The sequence below is a fragment of the Homo sapiens genome, chromosome 16 (genome assembly GCF_000001405.40).
Source record: "Homo sapiens chromosome 16, GRCh38.p14 Primary Assembly".
In the NCBI taxonomy this organism is placed as follows: Eukaryota; Metazoa; Chordata; class Mammalia; order Primates; family Hominidae; genus Homo; species Homo sapiens.
Window position 1 is genome coordinate 23,647,541 of NC_000016.10, and position 18,422 is coordinate 23,665,962.

At 41.3% G+C, this 18,422-nt stretch overlaps 1 protein-coding gene across 6 annotated transcripts in view, besides 1 other annotated feature; it reads left to right on the forward strand.

Annotated features, from left to right (window-relative positions):
• DCTN5 (dynactin subunit 5) overlaps positions 1-18,422 on the forward strand; it is a 36,007-nt gene that overhangs the window by 6,075 nt on the left and 11,510 nt on the right. For 4 of the 6 annotated variants that reach the window (XR_001752007.3, XR_001752006.3, NM_032486.4 and 1 more), the window contains exons 3-5: positions 10,967-11,085; positions 13,630-13,741; positions 18,086-18,188. Coding sequence is in view for 3 of the 6 variants with exons in the window: in NM_032486.4 (NP_115875.1) it covers positions 10,967-11,085; positions 13,630-13,741; positions 18,086-18,188 (334 nt within the window). In the remaining 3 variants the exon portion in view is untranslated. Of the gene's footprint in view, positions 1-3,215; positions 3,608-9,945; positions 10,047-10,966; positions 11,086-13,629; positions 13,742-18,085; positions 18,189-18,422 lie in introns of those variants that run through there. The other 2 variants (NR_037573.2, NM_001199011.2) reach the window with 2 other exon arrangements.
• Positions 4,496-4,645: an enhancer, noted in NCBI's record as "active region_10585". NCBI's record gives its function as "activates an Ori minimal core promoter by ATAC-STARR-seq in GM12878 lymphoblastoid cells {active_cell/tissue: GM12878}" and the evidence as "EXISTENCE:reporter gene assay evidence [ECO:0000049][PMID:35858748]".

An 18,422-nucleotide genomic window follows, 5' to 3' on the forward strand; every position in this document is an offset into this window, starting at 1 on the left:
CCCTGTTGCCCAGGCTGGATGCAATGGTGGAATCTTGGCTCACTGCAGCCTCCACTTCCCAGGTTCAAGCAATTGTCCTGCCTCAGCCTCCCCAGTACCTGGTATTACAGTTGCGTGCCTCCATGCCTGGCTAATTTTTGTATTTTTAGTAGAGACGGGGTTTTACCATGTTGGCCAGGCTGGTCTTGAACTCCTGACCTCAGGTGATCTGCCTGCCTCAGCCTCCCAAAGTGCTTGGATTACAGGCATGAGCCACCATGCCTGGCTACCTTTTGCTTTTTAAAGATGTTTAATTTGGCAATATTTTGGGTATACAAAAGAATATATGTGACATATATGTCATAAAGCATAAAATTAAATCAACACCAGTGAACCCTATACCCAACTGAAGAATTGGAACATAATCTGTATACAATAAGTACTATTTTTATGTTCCTCCCCTATTCCTATTTTTGCCACCCTCCAAGAGAAAACCGCTGTCCTGATTTTGTGTCTTATAAATTATTTATTATTTAAGCAAATTTTCCACATATCCCTAAATAATATATATTGTTTAACTTGGTTTCCTGTGATTTATTTTTATTTTAAAAATCTTTATTTATTTGTTTAATTTATTTGTTAGTTAATTTTTTTGAGACAGGGTCTCACTTTGTTGCCCAGGCTAGAGTGCAGTGGCACAATCATAGCTCACTGCAGCCTTGACCTTCCAGGCCAGGCTCAGGCGAACCTCCCACCTCAGCTTCCCAAGTAGCTTATGCTACGGGCATGCACCACCATTGCTGGCTAATTTTTTTTTCTTTTTTCTTTTTTTTTTTTTTTTTTTTTTAGAGACACAGTCTCGCTGTGTCGCCTGGGCTAAAGTGCAGTGGTGCGATATCAACTCACTGCAATCTCCACGTCCTTGGTTGAAGTGATTCTCATGCCTCAATCTCCTGAATAGCTGGGATTACAGGTGCACACCACCATGTCTGGCTAATTTTTGTATTTTTAATAGAGATGGGGTTTAACCATGTTGGCCAGGCTGGTCGTGAACTCCTGACCTCAAGTATTCCGCCTGCCTCGGCCTCCCAAAGTGCTGGGATTACAGGTGTGGGCCACCACACCTGGCCCTATTTGTAGTTTTTTTAAGGAACGTTCATACTGTTCTCCATAGTGGCTGTACTAGTTTACATCCCACCAACAGTGTATAAGAGTTTCCTTTTCTCCAAATCCTCACTAGTATTTGTTATTTTTTGTCTTTATGATAAGCATCCTAAACTGCGGTGAAGTGGTACCTCATTGTGGTCTTAATTTGCCCTTCCCTATGATTAGTGATTTTTTGTTTGTTTGTTTTTTGAGACAGAATCCCGCTCCATTGCCCATGCTGGAGTGCAGTGGCGTGATGTCAGCTCACTGCAACCTCTGCCTCCCGGGTTCAAGCAATTCTCCTGTCTCAGCCTCCTGAGTTGCTGGGACTACAGGCGCACACCACCATGCTGGCTAATTTTTTTTGTATTTTTAGTAGAGACGAGGTTTCACCATATTGCTCAGGCTGGTCTCGAACTCCTGACCTCAAGTGATCCACCTGCAGTTGGCCTCCCAAAATGCTGGGATTACAGGCATGAGCCACCGTGCCTGGCTGATTAGTGATGTTTAGTGAACATTTTAAAATATATATTTGTTGGCCATTAGTATGTCTTTTGAGAAATGTCGATTCAAATCATTTGCCCATTTAAAAAATTAGATTGAGTTTTTTTGCAGTTGAGATGTTTGAGTTCCTTGTATTAATATATTCTGTCTTTGAAGAATAGTTTGAAGATATGTTCTGCCATATTTTCATTCTGTTGATTGTTTCCTATGCTGTGCAGGATCATTTTAGTTTGATATAATCCCATTTGTTTATTTCCTTTTGTTGTCTCTGCTTTTGAAGTCTTACTCATCTTTTCCAAGACCAGTGTCTTTAAGCATTTCCCCTATGTTTTCTTCTAGTAGTTTATAGTCCCAGGCCTTCATTTAGGTCTTTAATTCATTTTAAGTTATAGACCAGGTGCAGTGGCTCACGCCTATAATCCCAGCTCTTCGAGAGGCCAAGGCGGGCGGATCACTTGAGGGCAGGAGTTCAAGACCAGCCTGGCCAACATGGTGAAACCCATCTTTACTAAAAATAGAAAAAATTAGCTGGGTGTGGCATGCTTGTAATCCCAGCTACTCAGGAGGCTGAGGCATGAGAATCACTTGAACCCAGGAGGCAGAGGTTGTAGTGAGTCGAGATGGTGCCACTGCACTCCAGCCTGGGCAACAGAGTGAGACTCTGTCTCAAAAAAAAAAAAAAAAAAAAAGATTTCATTTTGAGTTGATTTTTGTGTACAGTGACAGGTGTGGGGTCTACTTCTGCTTATGGATATGCTGTTTTCCCAGCACCATTTATTGAAGAGATTGTCCTTTTCCAGATGAATGTTCTCGTCACCTTTGTCAAAAATCAGCTGGCTATAGATATGTGGATTAATTTCTAGGTTCTATTCTGTTCCATTGGCCTATGTGTCTTTTTGTAATGCCAGTATTATGCTATTTTGATTACTGTAGCATTGCAGTATATTTTTAAGTCTGGCAGTGTGATGCCCCCTTCAGCTGTGTTCTTTCTGTTCAGGATTACTTTGGCTATTCAGAGTCTCTGCGAATTTTAGGATCTTTTTTCTATTTTTGTGAAGAATCTCATTGTTATCTTGTTAAGATTGCATTGAGTCTGTAGACTGCTTTGGGAGGTACTCAGCTTTTATTTCTAAGATTCATTGTGGTCTGTGCATTTTATTTTATTTTCTTTTAAGATGGAGTTTTGCTCTTATTGCCCAGGCTGGAGTGTAATGGTGCGATCTTGACTCACTGCAACCTCCAGGTTCAAGCGATTCTCCTGCCTCCCTCCCTCCCCACACACCACCTCTTCCTCCCACCACACCTGGCTAATTTTTTTTTTTTTTTTTGTATTTTTAGTAGAGACCGGGTTTCACCATGTTGGCCAGGATGGTCTTGAACTCCTGACCTCAGGTGATTGCCCACTTTGGCCTCCCAAAGTGCTGGGATTACAGGCATGAGCCACTGCACCCGGCTGGCCCGTCTGTGCATTTTCACTGCTGTGTACAATTCCACTTATCCACCCTCCTCTTGGTGGAAAGTTACTTTGTTTCTAGTTTTTTGCTGTTATGAACAATCCATTTATATTTCTATCCCTTCTCTTTCAGAACTTTGTCATTTCTGTTTTCCTGAGCCCATATATCAGATGTCACAGTGCCTGCAGGGATAGAAAGAGATCAGATGAGTCAGTAAGACTGAGTGTGAACAATAGAGAGTGGTGGGGCCTGGTGAATTGGAGAATGTGACCAATCTAAGCCCAAGCTGGTTGTTACTGTGTGGGAATACAGGCCCACGTGGCAACAATCAGCTTTCCAGAGCGTCTGATTCTTTTTCAAAAGCAACTGGAAATCTCACTTTTTAAAATGCAAGATGTTCCACTACTCAAATAGTAATGTTTAATTTTAAATGATTTGTTAAAATGCCACGTGTCCTTCCTGTAGGAGATAGCTAAAAAAAATTAAAAGAAATAAATAATAAAAATGCTGCATGAGCCAAACAATACAGGTTTGCAAGTATAGTCCTTCAACCTCCACTTTGCTATCTCTGCCTTGCCCATTGTTGAGTTCAGTGAACTCTTTGCTTTGCTTCTGTGAAGGGCAGCCACCTCCTTTCATTTGCTTCTCTGAAGGGCAGCCACCTTCTTTCTTTTTAACACCCCGTTACCTCTGTTTTGAATCTGACTTCTCTTCCTCAGCACTACTCCTTGTGAAATAGGAAACCAAGATTTGAGTCCATCTTCCTAAATTTCTCTGACCACCTGTGATACAATTTACTTCCTTTGCATGTGTTTGCTTCTTTAGTTAGTGTATAGTTTAGGCTGACAAACAGACTTATGTGGATGTTCTTTATTTCCAGATTAAGCTTGTTGTACTTATTTAAAACACAATAAAACAACCACCATCACCAAATACCCAGGACTTTTGGAATTCTGTTTTCCTCCAAAAGAAAAGGAAGCCATTTTCTCTGATTGTAGGTGGAAACATGAAACTGAAAACAATAATTGAAGTAAATTAAGACTCTTAGATGGAGGAAGTTCATGCTAGAAATAGATAATCTCTTTAAGCTTGAAGAGTACATCTTTTGAAAACCAAAGTGGCTGGGCACGGTGGCTCATGCCTATAATCCCAGCACTTTGCGAGACCAAGGCAGGCGGAGGCGGGCAGATTACCTGAGGTCAGGAGTTTGAGAGCAGCCTGGCCATCATGGTGAAACCCCATCTCTACTAAAAATACAAAAATTAGCCTAGTGTGATGGCATGCGCCTGTAATCCCAGCTACTCAGGAGGCTGAGGCAAGAGAATCACTTGAACCTGGGAGGCAGAGGTTGTAGTGAGTTGAGATCACACCACTGTGCCCCAGCCTGAGCAACAGAGTAAGACTCCATCTCAAAAACTAAAAATAAAAAAGAAAACCAAAAGAACTGTAATACTTCATAATCAGCAGCAGATGTGGAAGTTCTTTTTTATGAGTACAAGTTTTGTAGACTATACGTATGCAGTTGAGTAAGTTTTTCCAGGTATGAGTCTGTTTCTTTTTTGGTATTCTTCAGAGTCAGGTGTTCAGGCTAGCGATAAATCTAAATTCACCTATATATCAGGAGTTCCCCACCTACCTCCCTAGCCTGACCTTCTGTCCTTGACCTCAGACCTTTATTTACAACTGCCTATTGATCATCCCGTAGCTATCTCAAATTCAACATTTCAAAATTTAATTGGTAATCCTCATAATTGCTTACCCTATTGTAAATTCTCTTTGTCTTACCTCCCAACAGCCGAACAGTCACCAAGTCATATAGATTCTCTTCCTTCTTTTCTTTTTAAACATTTTATTATGGAACTAAAACCAATCATCTTTATTGAGGTATAATTTGCATACAATAAATGTATCCATTTTGAGTGTGCAGTTTGACAAGTTTTGACTGATGGGTACATCTATGCAACCACTACTACAATCAAGATATAGAATACATTTCTATTACTCTAGTTTCCTTGTGCCCCTTTGCAGTCAATCCTCTACCCTTGTACCCTTGCCTCAGGCAACCACCAATATAAAACTAATATAGATTAGTTTTGCATTTTCTGAAGTTTCATATAATTAGAATCACAAGCCCTTTTTAAAAATAATTTTTCATTGACATATAATAGATGTACATATTTTGGGGGCACATGATAATTTAATACATTTATAAAATTTATAAAGATAAGATTGGTTTTGGCTGGACGTGGTGGCCCACACCTGTAATCCCAGCACTTTCAGAGGCCAAGGTGGGAAGATCTCTTGAGCCCAGGATTTCAAAACCAGCCTGGGCAACATAGGGAGACCCCCATCTCTACAAATAAAAAAAATTAGCTGGGCTTGGTGGTGCACACCTGTGGTCCCAGCTGCTTGGGAAGCTGAGCAGGGAGGATCACTTGAGCCTGGGAGGTCGAGGCTGCAGTGAGCCGTGATGGCACCACTGCACTCCAGCCTGGGCGGCAGAGTGAGACCCTGTCCCCCAAAAAATGAAAAAATAAAAAATCAGTGTAATTGGGATACTCATCACCTTAAATATTTGTCTTTATGCTAGAAACAATCAAATTATTTCCTTCTAGAGTAGCCAAGGCAATCTTGAGCAAAAAGAACAAAGTTGTAGGTATCACGCTACCTGACTTCAAACTACTACAGGGCTACAGTAATCAAAACAGCGTGTTGCTGGTACAAGAACAGACACAGAACAATGGAACAGAATAGAAAACCCAGAAATAAGACCACACACCTACAACTATCTCATCTTCATCAAACCTTCTAAAAACAAGCAATGAGGAAAGGATTCTCTATTCAATAAATGGTGCTTGGATAACTGGCTAGCCATATGGAGAAAATTGAAACTGGACCCCTTCCTTATACCATATAGAAAAATCAACTCAAGATGGATTAAAGACTTAAATATAAAACCCAAAACTGTAAAAATCCTGGAAGACAACCTAACCAGTACCATTCAGGACATAGGTACAGGCAAAGATTTCATGATGAAGATGCCAAAAGCAATTGCAACAAAGCGAAAGTTGACAAATGAGATCTGATTAAACTAAAGCGCTTCTGCACAGCAAAAGAAACTATTAACAGGGTAAACAGACATCCTACAGAATGGGAGAAAATTTTTGCAAACTATGCATCTGACAAAGGTCTAATATCCAGCATCTAAAGGAATTAAACAAATTTACAAGTAGAAAACAACCCCATTTAAAAAGTGGGCAAAGGACATGAACAGACACTTTTCAAAAGAAGAAATACAATAATCATGACAAAAAGCTCAACATCACTGATCATTAGAGAAGTGCAAATCAAAACCACGAGATACCGTCTCACACCAGTCAGAATAGCTGTTATTAAAAAGTCAGAAAATAACAGATGCTGGTGAGGTTGTGAAGAAAAAGGAACACTTACATACTGTTAGTGGGAGTGTAACCATTGTGGAAGACAGTGTGGTGATTCCTCAGAGACCTAAAGACAGAAATACCATTTGACCCAGCAATCCCATTACTGGATATATACCCAAAAGAATATAAATCATTCTATTATAAAGACATGTGCACACATATATTCATTGCAACACTGTTCACAATAGCAAAGACATGGAATCAACCTAAATGCTTATCAGTGATAGACTGGATAAAGAAAATGTGGTACAGGTACACCATGAAATACAATGCAGCCATAAAAAAGAATGAGATCATATTTTTTGCAGGGACATGGATGGAGCTGGAGGCTAAATGATGAGAACACATGGACACATAGAGGGGAACAACACACACTGGGGCCTATGGGAGCGGGGAGTTGGGAGGGTGCAGGAGGGAAAGGATCGGGAAAAATAATGGGTACTAGGCTTAATACCTGGGTGATGAAATAATGTGTACAACAAACCTCCATGACACAAGTTTACCTATGTAACAAACCTGCATATGTACCCCTGAACTTAAAAGTTTAAAAAAAATTATTTCCTTCTAGCTGTTTTGAAATACATAATAGATTACTGTAAACTGTAGTCACCCTACTGACCTATCAAATTCTAGGTCTTATTTCTTCTATCAAGCTGTATATTTGTGCCCATTAATTAACCCCTCTTCCTTCCTCCTACCTTTCTTGGCCTTTGGTAACCAACAGTCTACTCTCTGTCTTGAAATCTGCTTTTTTAGTGCCCACATATGAGTGAGAACGTGTGATATATGTCTTTCTGTGCTTGGCTTATTTCATTTAATATAGTAACCTCCAGTTCCATCCATGTTGCTGCAAATGACAGGATTTCGTTCTTTTTTATGACTGAATAATATTCCATTATGTATATATACTACATTTTCTTCACTTGATCTTAGCCAAAAGGCCAAGAAGTGATATATACCACATTTTCTTTATCCTTTCGCCCATTCATGGATATCTGGGTTAGAATCATATACTCTTTTATGTCAAGCTTTTTTCACGCAGCATAATGTTTTTGAGATGTATCCATCTTGTTGCATATAGTAGCAGATTATTATTTTTTCCTTTTTATAGCTAAATATTATCATTATGGAACTTTTAAGACATGTACAAAAGTAGAGAGGATATATAAGGAATTCCCACAAACTCATTTACCAGCTTCCATAATTAGCAATATTCTGACATTTTTGCTTCATCTCTAAACTCACCTTGTAAACTCAAGTCCTAGTTTGACTAGGGTGGGGTAGGGAACGCTAGAGTTTTTTATTCTTACTTATTTATTTTTTCTTTTTCTGAGACAGAGTCTTACTCTGTTGCCCAGGCTGGAGTGCAGCAAGTGGCACTATCATAGCTCACTGTAGCCTTGATTCTTAGTGATCCTTCCGCCTCAGCCTCTGGTGTAGCTGGGACTATAGGCACGTGCCACCATGCCCTGCTTAATTTTTTTTTTTTTTTCTTGAGGCACAGTCTTGCTCTGTCACCCAGGTGGGAGTGCAGTGGTGTGATCTCAGCTTACCGCAGCCTCGACCTCCACATACTCAGACAATCCCCCCACCGCAGACTCCTGAGTAGCTGGGACTACAGGTGCACACCACCACATCTGGCTAATTTTTGTATTTTTTGCAAAGATAGGGTTTTGCCATGTTTCCCAGGCTGGTCTTGCCCTCCTGTGCTCAAGCAGTCCTCCTGCATCAGCCTCCCAAAGTACTAGAATTACAGGCATGAGCCACCATTCCCGGCTGGATGGTATTTTAAAACAAATTGCAAATGTCATATTATTTCACCCACAAATACTTCAGTGTGTCTTACTAATTCTTAAGGACTTAAAAATTCAGTAGAGGTGGGGCATGGTGGCTCACAATTGGAATCCTAGCACTTGGGAGGCTGAAGTAAGAGAATTACTTGAGGCCAGGCATTTGTGACCAGCCTGGGCAACATAGCAAGACCATGTCTCTACAAAAAATGAAAAGAAAAATTAGCCAGGTCTAGTGGCATGCACCTGTAGTCCCAGCTACCTGGAGGCTGAGGCAGAAGGATCTCTTGAGCCCAGGAGTTCAAGGTTACAGTGAGCCATGATCATGCCACTGCACTCCAGCCTGGGTGACAGAGCGAGACCCTGTCTCTATAAACAAACAAAAATGAGTAGAGTATCACTGTTATCATGTTAATATTGTAAAAACTCCAGTACTTCCTTAATACCATCTAACGCTCAGTCCATATTCAGTCTTCCCAGTATCTCAGGATATCTTTTTCCAGTTCATTTGTTCAAAGCAGAATCCAAACATGATGCTGCACACATTGTATTTGGTTGATATGTCTCTTAAGTCTCTTTTAATCTGTAACAGTTCTCTTTCCCCAACCCTTTTTTCTCTCCATGCCATTTATATATTGCAGAAACTGGGTCACTATCCAGTTGAATTCTCCAGCTGCTGAATTTGGCTGATTATGTCTATATGGAATTGCCTAATAGGGTCCTTATCTCCCTCCTTCCTTGAAATTGGTCATTAAATCTACAGACTTAATCAGATTAATTTACTTTTATTATTAATTTATATATTTTTACTATTTATTTTTTCTTTCTATATGTACAGTTATTGCTTTAGATAAGATCCATTATAGGCTGGGCTCAGTGGCTCATGCCTATAATCCCAGCACTTTGGGAGGATCACTTGAGGTCAGGAGTTCAAGACCAGCCTAGCCAACATGGTGAAACCCTATCTCTACTAAAAATACAAAAATGAGCCGGGCATGGTGGTGGGTGCCTGTCATCCCAGCTACTGGGGAGGCTGAGGCAGGAGAATTGCTTGAGCCTGGGAGGCGGGGTTGCAGTGAGCCAAGATCATGCCACTGCACTCCAGCCTGAGTGACAGAGCAAGACTCCATCTCAAAAAAAAAAAAAAATAAAGACTCATTATCTATTTTTACCTTGATCCATTGTAGTCATCTAAAGGGTCAGTTTTCCTCAGGTCTCTCACCTGTATCCTCCATGCAGATGCCAGGGTGCTTCCAGAGTAGTAGTAATAATACGGAAATTTATGTATGTTAATCCTTTGTTTAAAATACTGGGGCCAAGTGCAGTGTCTAATGCCTGCAATCGCAGCACTTTGGGAGGTCAAAGTTGGAGGATTGATTGCATGAGCCTAGGGGTTCAAGACCAGCGTGGGCAACATAGTGAGACTCCATCTCTACAAAACATTTAAAAATTAGTGGGATGTGGTGGCACACACCTGTAGTCCCAGCTGCACAGAAGGCTTAGGCGGGAGGATCCCTTGAGCCCAGGAGCTCAAGGTTGCAGTGAGCTATGATTGTGGCACTGCACTGCAGCCTGGGCAACAGAGTGAGACCCTGTGTCTTAAAGCAAAATCTCACTCTTTTCGTCCAGGCTGGAGTGCAATGGCGCGATCTCGGCTCACTGCAACCTCCGCCTCCCAGGTTCAAGCGATTCTCCTGCCTCAGCCTCCCGAGTAGCTGGGATTACTGCAGGTACTTGCCACCATGTCCGGCTAATTTTTGTATTTTTAGTAGAGATGGGGTTTCACCATGTTGGCCAGCCTGGTCTTGAACTCGACCTCAGGCAATCCACCTGCTTCGGCCTCCCAAAGTGTTGGGATTACAGGCGTAAGCTACCGCACCTGGCCAGAAAAAATTTTTTAATGAAATAAAATATTTTATTGACTCTATATCCTCTAGGAAAAATGTCTAAGTTTCTGTGCTTAGCATACATAATTCCTCATAATCTACTTGCATGTCCCTTGCTTACTTTTTCCAGTTACAACTCCAGCATATGCACTTTTTAACCCCATTCATTTATTCAGCAGACATTTTGAGGGTGCCTACTCTTTACCAAGTATAAGGCATTAATCCTCCCAGACTTATAGGGGAACAACTTCTGGGGAAGCCACGCCTTACACTTTGCAGTGTAGCACTTAGAATCTGAGTTCAGAGGTTGGGAGATGAACCAGAACTCCAGTGGGTCCACCTCTTGGAGCATGGAGTTGGAGGAGGTGTAGTGTTAAGAAAGAAGACAAAGGTAAAGCAGCCAGAACTCTTGGTAAGCGAGCAGCCAAGGCTTGGGGGGCATGAGGACTTACCTGAGCAAATCTAAAGAGACATATAAGCCAGATCTGCTATAGGTGTTCTCACTAAGTGCTCATTCAGTGAGTTCTATTCATGGGGGATTAAGGGCAAAGCTTGTGATGTACTAGGAACATCACTAACTGCAGTCACTGTCATGAGGGCAGTTCTCTTTTTACCTTACAATTTATTCCTTTTGGCGGAACATTTGAAACATTCTGTCAGAGTGGATTGTAACATAACTCAGAATCAGTATCTCGTTATCTACTCTTTTTTTGTTACGTCTTAGGCTATGTTGCTAATTTTTTAAAATTTGCTTCGTCTTACAGACCATTGTGATGAATGACTGTATTATCCGAGGGGATCTGGCAAATGTAAGAGTTGGACGTCATTGTGTTGTGAAAAGTCGTAGTGTCATAAGGCCACCATTCAAGAAGTTCAGCAAAGGGTATGTAATTTAATTACTTTGTTCAAGTCTTGGGCAAGAAGCTGCCACTGGTGGTGTGGTCCATGTGTTGAGTTGTGGTATAATGACTAGGTCTGTCCTGTTTGAAGCACTGAGTAAGAGTTCACCATAATGAACACAACTCTGCTGGTGGTTGTCTCAGTCTGGTTGATGATTGGTTGCTACAAACAGAATCCGCTTACACACTGGCAAAAGCAAAGGATTTCTGATCAAACAGACTGGCGTATATAATGGAACCTAAGAGGAGGAAAAGGAGCAAGCCAGGCCTCACAAGGGACCGGAACCTGGAATTGGACAGCTAGCCGGAATCAAGACTGTTTTGTCTACCTATCCCTCTCTGTATCTGAGACTGTATTTTTTCTTCTATACTGCCCTTCTCTCTGCATTTCTACTTGCCTTTTCTCTCTCACAGATACCTGCCCCATTTGTTCATGGAGCCTACCTTGCTGACTCAGCCTCTAATTTATATCATTTCTCCATTTAGGCTTCCAGCAGACACCAACTAGAGATCTTATGTGTTACTTCCAAACTCTTGAGAGAGAGAATCTGATTGACTCATCTTAAGTATCCCTGATCTGAACGACTTTGACCCAAAGGGCAGAGTCAAGTCAGGTCCACTGATCCTTCAGTGGGAATAAAGACTGTCCAAGAAAGGCCAGGGACAGAGCAGGCAAACTGACCACCATAGCTGATAATGGTGCTAAAGTATTCTCTTTGCCTCTTTGCTTCTCTCCTCCTTGACTAATTGCCCTCCTGGCACCCATCTGCATTTCATCCAATAAGTCAGCAAGCATTTATTGAGCACCTTCCTCATGCCTGCAGCTGGGTTGTAAGCTGAGAATATATAAAGATAGATAAAATAAAATTCCTGCCTCAAGGTTCCCAAAGTCTAGTTGTAGAAGCAATTAGCATAATCAGATAGCGACATATGACAGCTACTATATGATGTGATACACCTGTCACAGAGGTATGACCATGGTTAGGAAGGAACAGAGAAGGGAGCAATTAACTCAAACTAATGATAATACCCAGAAGTATATCATGCAGAAATAATCCCACATTTCCAATAATGATGTTGGATTCCAGGCTTTCCATGACATACAAGAACTGGATCGGAGAATCATTATAAAACATTCACATGATTAGCTTTGAAGGCTACTAGGGGAAAACCAGAAAACCTCCTGGTACCCTATTATGGTTTTATACAGTGTGACTGATACACTACTAGAAATGTTGATTAACAGCATTGTTGGGTTGGATATGGCACAGGAAAAGCACCAAGAGTGAACAAGGGGTTTATTGCTGAATGAAGGGATGTGTAAATAGGAATAGTACATGTGAGAAATGCTGAAAATATGAAAGTGTAAATAGCAAAACATGAATAGAAGCTAAATGTGGATTTTTTTCTACCTGCATGTCATACCAGAACCAGATAATACTATCGAACTTGGAATCTTAAATTTAAAATTAAAGAACTGTCAGTACTGCTACAGACTGTGATGAGATCAGGGAATGCATTGCTGCACAAGAGGTACAGACCAAAAATACTAGTGGTTAAGGAAGATTTAAACAAATTATAGGTTCGTAGAGGACAGGTATCATCTCTGAAAAAATATTCTGGACAGAATAGAACAGAATTGGAATTCTTCTATACTGCCCTTCTCTCTGCATTTCTACTTCCCTTTTCTCTAGTGAGCATCTAGCACTTTATATTCATTCCAGTCCAAATATTTTACATCCCAAGGTATAGAAATTACATATAAATGTGATCACAGAACCACTGTCAGTGACATTTGAGGAACCCTAGAGAACGGGATGGGAATGATGTCAGATATCTGGAGAAAGCCTGCTGACTCCTACTCAAAGTCAATTAAGTTTTTCCTAAATCCATGGACTAGGTAAGGTCTCCTTGTTATATATGCTCATAACTTGATATTGTGTTTCTGTAGCCCTTATCACAGTTGTCACTACTTACTATTTAATCTCATTTCTTCTCTTGATTGCAAGCTGCTCGTGGACAGTGTTCTCTCTCTTTTGTCATTATTATAGCCCTAATTTCTAGCATTGAGTCTGGCACATAGTAGTCACTCACTGAAGTCTGTGAATGAATAAATTTTTAGAATGCTGAATGTGGAAATTATAACTCATGAGCCTACTGTCAATCCCCTGGAACATTATAGGGCAGGTTACTAAAAATGTGATCTGTGAGCATTTTCAAAGGAAGTGGGAATGAACAAACGTTCATTGATTTTTATTTGGTACCTGCTCTTTTAGCTTTGAAGATCTTGCCCCTCCTGCCTTGGTTTTTCCTTTCATATTTCTTTGGTGTACTATTGCAATTTTGAACTAGTAATCATATTCATTTTCTTCAATATTGTATAATTTTTCTAGCCTGAGGTTTCTTTCCTTGCTGGGAACAGTCTTGCTAAGATGATAAAGTTCAAATTATGATCTGTAGTTCTATAAACCTTGACCCAAAGTACATCATCTTGACCTTTCTGTGTTCATCTTCTTTTCCTCTTCTAGTGTTGCATTCTTTCCTTTACATATTGGAGACCATGTCTTTATTGAGGAAGATTGTGTGGTCAACGCAGCACAGATTGGTTCCTATGTTCATGTTGGGAAGAACTGTGTGATTGTGAGTATGATGACTTGGCTGGCAAAGCAGCTTCACTTTCCCTTCAGCTCCCATCCCTCACTTCGGTGGGACCCTGTTTCTGTGACTAAGCAGGGTAGCAGTGGTTTCCAGTCTTCCCAGAGTTGGATTTTTCTTGACAGATATGGAATTTTTTCAGCTGGGTGCGGTGGCTCATGCCTGTAATCCCAGCTTTTTGGGAGGTTGAAGTGGGCAGATCACTTGAGGTCAGGAGTTTGAGACCAGTCTGGCCAACATGGCAAAACCCTGTCTCTACAAAAATACAAAAATTAGCTGGGCATGGTGGCGCATGCCTGTAGTCCCAGCTACTCGGGAGGCTGAGGCAGGAAAATCACTTGAACCCAGGAGGCGGAGGTTGCAATGAGCCAAGATTGCACCACTGCTTTCCAGTCTGGGCAACAAAACGAGACACTGTCTTATAAATAAATAAATAAATAAATAAATAAATAAATAAAAAGATTTGGAATATTTTCTAGACATTAATACGGGCAAGCGTTTATCAAGTCTCCTCTATATGATGTTAAACTCTTTCCTTTGATGATTTCATTTAATCCTTACAACCATTCAGATGTGTTAGGTGTTATCCCTATTTGCAGATGAGAAGACTGAGGACCTTAAATATTAAGGGATTTGGGGCCAGGTGTGGTGACTGTAGCCTATAATCCCAGCACTTTGCGAGGCCAAGGCAGGAGGATCCCTTGAGCCCAGGAGTTCAAGACCAGCCTGGGCAACAAAGCAAGACCCTTTCTCTTAAAAAAAAAAAAAACCCAAAAGTTAAGGGATTTGATAGGGCTAGAAAGCAGTAGACCTGGGATTTAAACCCAGGCAATATGATTATTAGCCATGCTGCTATATGGCCTACTTATTGCCTTACTTCACGGAGCTTACAGTCTAATGGGAGTAAGGAAATCTGAAGGGTGAGTTGAAACTGGGGGAAGACAGGCATTTCAGGAAAGAGATTCACATGCGTAAGGAAGGGTTCAAGTCATCAAAGGGCATTTACATGTAATTCAGGGTGCAAGCGGGCCCCTTGCTCAGCAGAATCTGTAGGACCCTGGTCCATTGGAGCCTAGGAATAGGTTGATTTAACCCAACCAAGGCTTAACAAGGTTGGATTTCCTGTGATTTCTTAGATGATGAGCTTGATTTCAGTTGGGATTTATGAGAACCATGTTTAGGGAAAGTGTTTTCTGCATTTTAGATTTGTACTCCAGACTAGATTCTAGGAAAAGCCAAGACTCTGTTTCTTTAATGACCATTCCCGTTAATATGGAGCCAGCTCTCTGCCCTGGATAAGACTCAGACCCTGAAATATCAAAAAACTTGCAGAAACCAAACAGTTCACATTCCAGGAGCTATGAGGGTACAGCAAAGGTGGACAGAAAGTCTTTGGGACAAGGGGAAAGTTAGTAAAGTTCATCTCTCCCCTCACCCTAATTGCTTGACAAAAGCTAGCCTTCCAGCTGGGGGTTTCTGATATTTTCCTTAGCAAAGTGAAGATATCACCCCAGTAGCCTAGTCATATAACCCTGTCGTTTATCCTCAGAGCGAAATGTCTGAAAGGTTGAATCCAAATTCTATTCCCAGTGCTTAGGAAATTCTAATCCTATTGTCAGGTGCTCTTGTTTTTATGCCACTTTTTAATACATCACTTCATGATATAGTCATTGTTCCATATTGGCGGTACTCGCTGAGCCTTGACAAATACTCGATCTCAGGAGAGATTCTTTTAGAATTCTAGAATCTCAGCACTGGAAGTAACTCTTTTAGTCCAGCCGTCCCCATGACACATAGCTCCTTCCTATAACATCCCATGTGATAGTCTTAATTTCCGTTTGGATATGTGAAGATGTAGGTGTTCATCAGAATTGCTCAGATGCCTGAAGGAAAAGCTTAACAAGCAATATTTATAGGCACTGTTACTGTACTATGAGTTTTACATTTATTCTCTCTATTCTTGACAACCTCCCTGCAGATTTGGTTTTCCATCCTGTTTCATAGATGAGGAAACCAAGGCTCCAAGATGCTAACTTACTTGCACAGGATATATAGGTAGCTGTAGTATTAGCAGCACGGCTGCAGTTGTTAACTCCTTGGAAAGCTCTCTAGGGAAGAATAAAGAAGTAGTTTCAGGCCAGGCGCAGTGGCTCATGCCTGTAATCCCAGCACTTTGGGAGGCCGAGGCAGGAGGATCACTTGAGGCCAGGAGTTTAAGACCAGCCTGGCCAACATGGTGAAACCCCGTCTCTACTAAAAATACAAAAAAATTAACTGGGCATGGTAGCACATGCCTGTAATCCCAGCTACTTGGGAGGCTGAAACAGGAGAATCGCTTGAACCCAGGAGGTGGAGGTTGCAGTGAGCCGAGATCGCGCCACTGCACTCCAGCCTGGGCAACAGAGTGAGACTCTGTCCCCCGCCACCAAAAAAAAAAGAAGTTTCAGCTTTTACCTCCTCAGCTATTACCAGTACATTCATGCCTAAGAAATACCTACATTTTAAATGTTTAATTTGATTGATCAGTCTACCCAGACAGCTTCTGAAACCCAGTTAAGTATTATTTCTCTAAGTGGGCAAAATGGCCAACCAGTGGACAGAGCAGGTGCCTTCAGGCTGCATGGTGGCTGGTATACACAGTGAAAATATCCCATCAGCTAGTCTTCTTTTCCAGGGCCCTTTGTCTGTGGATCCCTCCATGGGACTATATCATGCCTTATGTAGCACATTGGGTGTCCTTTTACTCAGTGCCTCATGAACTTAGTCTGAGTTAGTAGGAGCTTAGTCATGACAGGAATTCTTAGGGTTTATGTTAATTTGAGGTCACCAGGGAAGATAGTTGCCCTATTTTTGAAATTGCCACTAGCAGGTAACCCACGGAAGATAACTTTACAAGGAAGAACGAAGAACTATAGTCATAATGTGCTTTTGAGCTAAAGATGTTGCTGAGTATTCTCATAGCTGTTATCCACCTAGCTGGAGAGAGATCAGCCACTTGGGAAATTCAGAGCCACTTAGGAAATTCACATGCTTTCATAAGAAGTTCATTTAGCAATCTACCTTTTCCTAGAAAAACATATGATTTAAGTGTTTAATAATGGGGAAAAATTTAAACACAAGCAAATCAATCATGTTCTTTGCTAAAATCTGAGGTCTGGACTGGTTAGCATTGTCCTGGTATTTGTAAAGATTTCCACATTCTCAGTCAGGTATATTTTCTGATTGTCTAGCCAGGATACCAGTGAACTAACAGGCCCTGATGTAAATGCAGTCAGAATGATCAAAACTTTCATTTCCTCAGCAAGGAGTCTAAGATACAGCTGTAAACTGTACACAGAAGCCCCATGAAACAGATGAGTCTCTCAGACCTTATTTCTTGCTCTCTGAATGCCGTGGATCATGGCAGAATTGAAAAGTGGTGACAGTGGTTAAAGTCAGGGATGAGGTTCAAACATCTACATGACTATCACTCACCAGTGGGAGAACAAATGAACTAATAGCTTCATATCCAAATGAATTTTTCAGGGTTTTTCCAGTTTGAATTGACAAAAGAGCAAACCAACCAACCAACCTTAAGCTGGTGGATGTGGAGTGGAATGGGTGGTGAATATAAACCAAGAGTACAGGAGTAGATCTTAATGTCACGGCCAAATGGCTCCAGGCATTCAGCCCATGTTGTAAGAATTAGTCTCCATCTCTGTGCTGCTTTCCTCTGGGAGGTTCACTCCCAGGCAGGTTCTTCCTTCATGGAAATAAGATGCCTATTCCAGTCTTCCAGCCTATCCTCTGGAAACCCCAGTGGGAAGTGCTGCTTTCCCCAGTAGTCCCAGCAAAAGCCCTGAGGTTGGGGTCCATCAGACTAATTGGGGTCATATGCTGACCTGTTATTGTTTCCAGGCTTGGGGTTTGGTGTGTGGGCTGGGGGGTGAAGCACATGGATGAGATGGGGATGGGAGGGTTACCGAGGAAAATACAGGTTCTGTTACCAGAAGAAAGGGGAATGGATGCTGGACAAGCAAAAGCACAAATGTCCACTAAATCAAAGGGAAAATTCAACAGAGCTCATGGAAGACTGAAATTCAGTCTGTAATGTCTGAGACAGTTTGTCCTGCCTCTAGCATACAGCCTTCCCCCCGAAATGTACACAAACACACACTCTCACAACCTTGCTGCCTCCTTCTCGTCAGGTACCACCTGAAGCAGGAAGTTGCAACCAACCCTCTTGTCACCGTCCCTGGCTATTACATGGTATCATGAATGGGGAAAATAGAAAGGAGCCTTTCACACAGTAGACTGATCCATTTCCTATTAACAAGATTTTAATTTCAGGGGCGCCGATGTGTGTTGAAAGACTGCTGCAAAATTCTTGACAACACAGTATTACCTCCAGAAACTGTGGTTCCACCATTCACTGTCTTCTCAGGCTGCCCAGGTAACCTTGGCTGTTGATTAATTTTATTTTAACTTCCTAAAACTCAGTTGTATTTTCCATCGCAAAAGTAATGCTTACGATTCCTATCTCTGGCAATATGTTGATAGAGCTAACTTAGAAATTCACCTGTACAAAGTACCTAGAAATGCTACCTAACATATAACAAGCATCTGTTTAAATGCATAATTGGGTTCACCAGAAAATAAGGAAATTATGAAGGGCCAAACACAAAGA